Raw genomic sequence first — 8,206 nt, 5'->3', positions numbered from 1 at the left:
ATCACCATCAGCATCACATCATCACCATTATCATTACATCATCATCATCACCATTATCATCAAATCATCATCACCATTATCAAATCATCATCATCACCATTATAATCAAATCATCACCATCAACTTATCACCATCATTACATCATTATATCATCATCACATCATCACCATTATCATTACATCATCATCACGTCATCATCACCATTATCATCAAATCATCATCATCACATCATCACCATCATCACATCATCCTTATCACCATTATCACCATATTCATCACATTATCACCATCATCACCTGATCCTCATCACCATCATCACCATCATCATCGCATTATCACCATCATCACATCATCATCTTCATATCATTATCATTAAGATCATCATCACATCATCACCATCATCACCTCATCCTCATCACCATCATCACCATCATCATGGCATTATCATCATCATCACCTGATCCTCATCACCATCATTACCATCATCATCACATCATCACCATCATCACCTCATCCTCATCACCATCATCACCATCATCACATTATCACCATCATCACATCATCATCTTCATATCATTATCATTACCATCATCATCACATCATCACCATTATCATTACATCATCATCACATCATCATTATCACATTATCATCATCACATCATGATTATCACCATCATCATATCATCATCATCATATCATTATCATCATCACCACATCATCACATCACCATTATCATCAAATCATCATCATCACACCATCACCGTCATCATCACATCAGCATCATCATCATATTATCGCCATCATCACGTTATCATCATCACCACCATCATCATATCATCGTTATCTCCATCATCATCATCACTACTGTCATCACATCATCATCCTTAACATCATCATCATTACATCATCATCACCATCAGTATCATCACCATCACCATCACATCATCATCATCATATCATGAGCCCAAAATGATTGAAACAGTCTGTGATAGCCACACGAATGTGCCCACTGTAGAATATTCATTTCTTCTTTTAGTTGTTGTTTCTGGTCTATTTGGTGTCTCACATTGTATCTCAAGGATGATATGACTCACATGTAGCTAGCTTAGATGAGGTGCCCAGCAATGTGACAAGGGGGGCTGTCAGGGGAAGGGATGATGGGACCTCAGATTTTTATAGATTAAAATGCAGACCCAAAATGCAGAAATGAACTCACATTACAAAACAGAAATATTCTCCAAAGCAACTTACCAAGGAAATTTCCAAAATGGGCTACATTTTTGAGAAGATATCACTTTGACTTTTAAGCTATCTTATTTTTATACCTCCTTGGCCTTCAATTGTTGGAGGCACCTGACAAGTCAGCTTAAAGCGTCTCTTCTCCCAGGCCTTTAAGAAGCTAGCTTTGCCCAACAAATCCCCATAAAGAAATGCCATGGTGAAATAGTTCGTAAGGTGAGACTCTGCAAGCTTCCTCATTCATGTATCTTTTTTCCAAGTATATGTGTGTTTATGGAGTTTGAGCTGGTAAGTTGTAGGTATAGATCAACTTCTATCCTTATGTGTTACTATGTGAGAAAAGATTATCCGAAACTGAAGTTAACACAGAGGATAATATATGTGAGACATGGAGAGAGAATTGCTAAGCGTATAGATTGAGCAGCTGTATCAAGCTATACCTGAACTGACAACGTTGACTTTTCACTTACAAGTACCAATAAATTCCTTGGTTTTGTATTTGTTTAATGGATTTCAGTTGTCAATCAAAAGAATCCTGACAAGTACACAATTCATCCATTCAAATGTTCATTCATCAAATAGTTCTCAAGAACTCTTCTGTACCGGGCACTGGTCTCTGTTTCTTGGCGCTCACAACCCAAAGAAAGAGAAAACTCCAAGTAGTCATCTGGAAGTGATTAATTCTGTATTCTTGAGAATCTGGACATGTTGTGGATTGCTTGGGCAGTAGTTGTGTTCGTCCTCCACAAGCTACCTGACAGCTTCAGTTTCTTGGAACCTGGTTAGGGAGAGGCTACAAAAAAATGCTTAGATAAACACAGACAAAGTGTTTATCTTAGCAAACACAGAAAAAGTGCCATGCTTTTAAAATGTTACTTTACCCTGCCCCCACCCCAACATCAAACTTGTTTAAAAGGCATAAAATAGCATGTCTACAAATTCTTCTCATGAATGGTGATATTGTTCTAAGTTTGGGCAGTGAAGAAAGGAACCTAATCTAGTCAGCTCAGCTTTTCAGCCTTGTCATCCCTCCTCCTTCGTTGTATCTGATAATCCAGCCCTCCCCAGCTCCCCTAGCCTTCTGCTGAGGTCTGTACAGGGAACAGTAAAGAGGTGTAAGAATCTTTTGACAAAATCTCATATTTAAACTGCTCCAGCTTATTCATGTCTGTTGAGAATACTTGCTTTTCCTGTGTCACTGAGCTTTCTCTCAGTGCAGTCGACAGGCCAAATACTTGAAACTTTTCTCTTAGCTAATCTGGCTTTAATAAAAGAAAGTGCTCCCTTCCTAATGCTTCCCTTGCATCTTCTGAGAGGTGTGACTGATTATTTTACACACTTTGGAAAGCTCTTTCCTATCCCCAAGTGGTTAATCGCCTCCTTAACTATTGAAGGTCATTTTCTGTGTTTTGTTAGATATAGTTGTTGTATAATTCAGGCCATATTTTAAGTTTCTACTTAAGTTTTACGTTGTCCTTTTCTGACAGAATTTTCTAACCACAGAGATGCTAGCCCATTTTGGAGAATTTATTTGAAATGTTGAGTGCTTTATTTTCTCCAGATAGCTTGCATATATTCCAACATTCTCCTTGCATTTCACTTTGTTGTGCAAATCAGTTTCTACAAAGCAGCTTTTACCTTATAGTCCAGGTCGTCTCCACTTTCTGATTCACTCTTTATAGCCAATTCCAAGTTGCCATCCTCCTGCACCTTCTCAAAGGACAGCTGGAAAATCTGTCACCTTCAGCTGCTTTCTATCAGAGTCATAAGCTGACCCTGACTCTTACAACATGATCCCTGCATGTGTAAGATGTTTTCTACTCATTCAGGTCCTTCTCTCTTCCTTCCCTTTTCTGTTTCCTATGAAAGCAAGCTAGACTTCAAAAGAAGATGAGTATTTTTGCCAAAGCTACCTATTGGTGATATCTGAAGTTGAAGTTCATCTGAGAGAACCCTAAGGCACTTTTTGGCTTAAACCACTTGGGATTGGAGTGCTTTTTATTTTTTTAAAAAAAGCTACCTTTGAATATGAGCCATAAACAGTTGAAATGAAAGGTTAGGGGCTCTTTTTCCAGTTCTTTGAGGAGAACTTTGTTCTCAGCCAAAGATATATTTGCTCAGATTTGTATTCCTTGGTGCCAAAATAAGTATCTGAAACTTGTCCAAAGTGCGTGCCTCAACTGAAGGTGACTCAAGGTCTCCATAAGCTTTGTAAGCAGGCGAGGCTTGTCACGAACACCATGAAATGTTTTAACATGTGCAGAAAAATCTTTGGACCACCATTGTCCCCTCCTTAGAGTCAGCTGAATATTTACTATAAAAACAAACACAGAAGTAGTTGCCACCCTCTCTCAAGGAAAGCCCGTAGCAACCTGGGCCTTATCTCAAACCTTCAGACACCACCACCAAAGTCCTGCCCAGCTTCTCTGGTTGAGCTGGAAGTGGCACGGTGTAGCATTCAGCACTGCAGGACCCCGCAGATCACAACAGGCCATACAGAACCCTGCAGAGTGCTCCACTGGGAACCCAAGCAGCAGCCTGACAACCAGGGAAGAGCATCCGGAGAGCTGACGACGTGGGGGCCAGGTTTAATAAGGAAGAATTGTCAAACCATTCTGTCAAGGAACACAGATAATGAGAACATTTGTGTAGATAAGGTGGAGTTGGATATGTGTGCTTGAAGCCGCAGGTAGACGGCCTATGACTCTAGCTATTCTAGACCCCAGCAGGTCCCACAAAACACTAAGAGAATCAAAGTTAAGCTGGTTGCCTGTTCTCCGTGCCTGTGGTTTCTGGCATCAAGGCTGGGCCTCCTGCAGTGGGAGGGGTGCCTGCCTTGTCATCCTCTGCTGCTCCTTCCTCTCCATTTAAACTTTTCTCTGGCAGCCCAGCAGCCTGGCCCTGTCTACAAAGGTCACAGGAATCTTCCTCTCCATGTCTTCCTGCCTAGTTTTGTTTTCTTTTCTGCAGGGGCAGGAGGCGGAGGAAGAGAACGATTCTAAGATTGCAGGGAATCTGGCCACAAGTGCAGGAACAGAAGCAATAAGGGCCTTACCAAGAAGAGTCAGTTTTTACTTGCCTTCTTTGTTTTGGAAGATAACAGTTTTTCTCATGACATGACCTATTTTATGTAGAACTGAATAAAGTGCAACAGACAGATCTTAAGCATACGGTTCTGTGATTTTTTTTTTTTTTTTGAGATGGAGTCTCACTCTGTTGCCCCGGCTGGAGTGCAGTGGTGCGATCTTGGCTCACTGCAACCTCTGCCACCCGGGTTCAAGCTATTCTCCTGCCTCAGCCTCCTGAGTAGCTGGGATTACAGGCATGCACCACCACACATGCTAATTTTTGTATTTTTAGTAGAGACAGGGTTTCACCATGTTGGTCAGGCTGGTCTCAAACTCCTGGCCTCGTGACCCACCTGCCTCAGCCTCCCAAAGTGCTGGGATTACAGGCATGAGCCACCGCACCTGGCCAGTTCGGTGAATTTTTAAAAAGGCTTTTACCAATGTAATCCAGTCCTTGATCAAGATAAAGAACATTTCCATGACCCTAGTTAAGTCCTTTTCTGGTCAATATGCTCCCCGTGTGAAGGCAAACACTGCTCTGCTGTCCAGCCCCATAAATAAATCTGCCTACAGTTGAATGTCACGTAAATAGAATAATATAGTATATGCTTTTTTGGGTTTACCTTCTCTTATTTCACTCACTTGGTTCATGGAGTGGCATAATCAGTAGCTTGTTCCTTTTTAGTTCTGAGGAGCACGCCACTGTTGGATGAAGAGATAACTGTTCACCCAGTCCCCTGTTGATGGCTATTTTGGTTGATTCCGGTTTTTGTCTATTATGAATAAAGTTGCTATGAACATTCTTATTTGTGTCTTCATGTGGAATCATATTCTTATTCCTTCTGAATAAATACCAAAGAATGTGATTCTTAGGCAATATGGTTAAGTGTATGGTTAACTTAACAAGCCATTGGCAAAATATTATCCAAAATGATGATAGTATTTTACAGCCCTGCCAACAAAATCTAAAAATTATGTTTCCTCCACATCTTTGCCAACAATGGGTGTTTCCATCTTTTTTTTAAACATTTAAGTTCAGAAATACTTATGCAGGTTTGTTACATAGGTAAACTTGTGCCATGGAGGTTCGTTGGGCAGATTATTTCATCACCCAGGTATTAAGCCTATTACTCATTTGTTATTTTTCCTGATCCTCTCCCTCCTCCCACCCTCCACCTTCCAATAGGCACCAGTGTCTGTTGTTCCCCTCTATCTGTCCATGTGTTGTCATCAACTAGTTCCCACTTGTAAGTGAGAACATGCAGCATTTGGTTTTCTGTTCCTGGTGTCACTTTGCTAAGTATAATGGCCTCCAGCTCCATCCATGTACTTGCAAAAGACATGATCTCATTCTTTTTTATGGCTGCATAGCATTCCATAGTGTATCTGTACCACATTTTCTTTATCCAGTCTATCATTGATGGACATTTAGGTTGATTCCATGTCTTTGCTATTGTGAATATCAGCCATGATAGATGGTGTTTAGTAGTATTTTATTACGGTTTAAATTTGCATTTCCTTGATGGCAAATGGTATAAGGTATTCTTTCTTGTGCCATTCATAGATCTTCTTTTCAGAAGTTTCTATTCAAATATACTCCCCATTTTAAATTGTGATGTTTGTCTTTTTATTGAGTCAGTTGCTCCTCACATATTCTAGACACAACTCTTAGATTGAGAATACTTTCCTCTACTCTGTGGATTGCTTAGTTATTTGAATAATGATGTCTTTTGAAAAACATAGGTTTTTTATTTTTATAAAGTATAATTTATTAATTTGCTTTTTGAGGCAAAGTGATTTGGGGCCTTAATTAAGAAATCTTTTCTTACCCCAGGATTGAAAGAAAAATGTTCTCCCATGTTTTCTTCAAACAACTAAAGTTGTAATTTCAATTTAGTCGAATTTTCAACTAATGTTATAAATTTTAGTTTTTACATTTAGGTCTGTAACTGAATCTAGACTTTTGTGTGGTATGAGGTAGGACTGAATTTCATTTTTCTTTACATATATATATCAAGTTTTCTCACTATTTCATGAAAAGACTTTCTTTACTCCATTGAATTCCTCAGACTCCTGTGTTCAAAAATCAAACAATTATAAAAGAATGAATTTATTTCAGGACAATATTCTGTTTCAATGATTTATTTACATATCCTTATATCAATACTAAATTATATTTAATTACTGTAGCTTTTAATATGTCTTGAAATTGGGTAATCTAAGTCTTCAAAGATTGTTTGTTTTCAAGATTGTTTTGGCTATTCTAAGTACTTTGCATTTCCAATTAAAATTTTAGAATCAGCTTGTCAATTTCCATGACAAGGAAGGCTGGGATTTTTATTGGGATTGTTTTCAATCAATAGATCACATTGGGAAAATCAACATCTTAACAATGTTGAGTCTTTCAATCCAGAAACATCTCTCCATTTATTGTGTCTTCAACTTCTTTCAGCAATATTTTGTATTTTTACTACAGAGGACTTGCAAACACTTGTTATATTTATTCTTAAGTATTTTATATTTCTGGATATTATAAATTGTATTATTCTTTAATTTTATTGTATAAATTTTAATTTCTAGGATATAGAAATAACAGTGAATTATTATGTACAGGCCTTGTATCCCATGACCTTGCTTTTTTTTTTTTCTTTCTGAGATGAAGTCTCACTCTGTCGCCCAGGCTGGAGTGCAATGGCACGATCTTGGCTCAATGCAACCTCTGCCTCCCGGGTTCAGTCAATTCTGCCTCAGCCTCCTGAGTAGCTAGGATTAGAGGCATGCACCATCACACCCAGCTAATTTTTGTATTTTTAGTAGAGATGGGGTTTCACCATGTTGGCCAGGCTGGTCTCAAACTCCTGACCTTGTGATCTGCCCACCTCGGCCTCCCAAATTGCTGGGATTACAGGCATGAGCCACTGCTCCTGGCCATGACCTTGCTTTTAATATTGTTTGTTGTCTGTTTTTGGTATCAACATTAATGATGGATTCATAAGTTGGGCTGTTTGCTCCTCCTCTGTATTTTGACAGCTTTTCTTTAAAAATAATATTATTTCTTTCTTACATATTTGACATAATTCATGAGTAAAGCCACCTAGACCTTAAGTTTTCTTTGTGGAAAATCTTTGAATGTATTCATTTGACATGAATCCATACATATTTTGATTCTTTCTCTTCTCAGTTTTGCCTTTCAAGGACCATTTTATCTAAATTGTCTATTTTATTGACAAAGTTATTCATAATATTTCATTATTAACCATTTTATATCTGTACAGTTGTAGTAATTTCCTCTTTTTTGGCTGATATTGGTAATTTGCATTTTTTATTTCATTCATCTTACTAGGAATTTATTGATTTTATTACTTTTAAGGAAACAAATTGTTACCTCATTTTTTCTATTGTTTTTCTATTTTATTTATGTCTGATTATTATTTATGCCTTCTTCCTACCTATTTTGGTATTAATTTGTTTTTTTACATACTCCTTAGGTGATCATTTAGATCAAGGGGTGGCAAACTCTGTTTCTAAAAAAGGCCAGATTATAAAATATTTGAGATTTTGTGGACAATACAATCTCTGTTAGAGCTATTCAAATTATCATTCAGTTCAAAATGTTCCTGATTATTGTGATTTCTTTCTTAACCATGAGTTCTATAGAATTATGTTGCTTAATTTCTAATATTCGGAGATTTTTCAAGATAACATTTTTCCAGTTGATTTCTAATTTAATTTTGTTGTGATCAGAGTACATGTACTATAGGAATTCAATCTTTTAAAGTTTATTAAGAGTAGTTTCATGGCCCAATATAGGTTCTATCTTGGTGAATGTTCTATGGGTATTTGAAAAACATGTTCAGTTATTGAATGTAGTGTTTTATGTATTTAAATTGATTGACATT

Source organism: Homo sapiens, chromosome 12 (assembly GCF_000001405.40).
Source record: "Homo sapiens chromosome 12, GRCh38.p14 Primary Assembly".
Classification (NCBI taxonomy): Eukaryota; Metazoa; Chordata; class Mammalia; order Primates; family Hominidae; genus Homo; species Homo sapiens.
Note: the sequence above shows the minus strand (reverse complement) of the source record.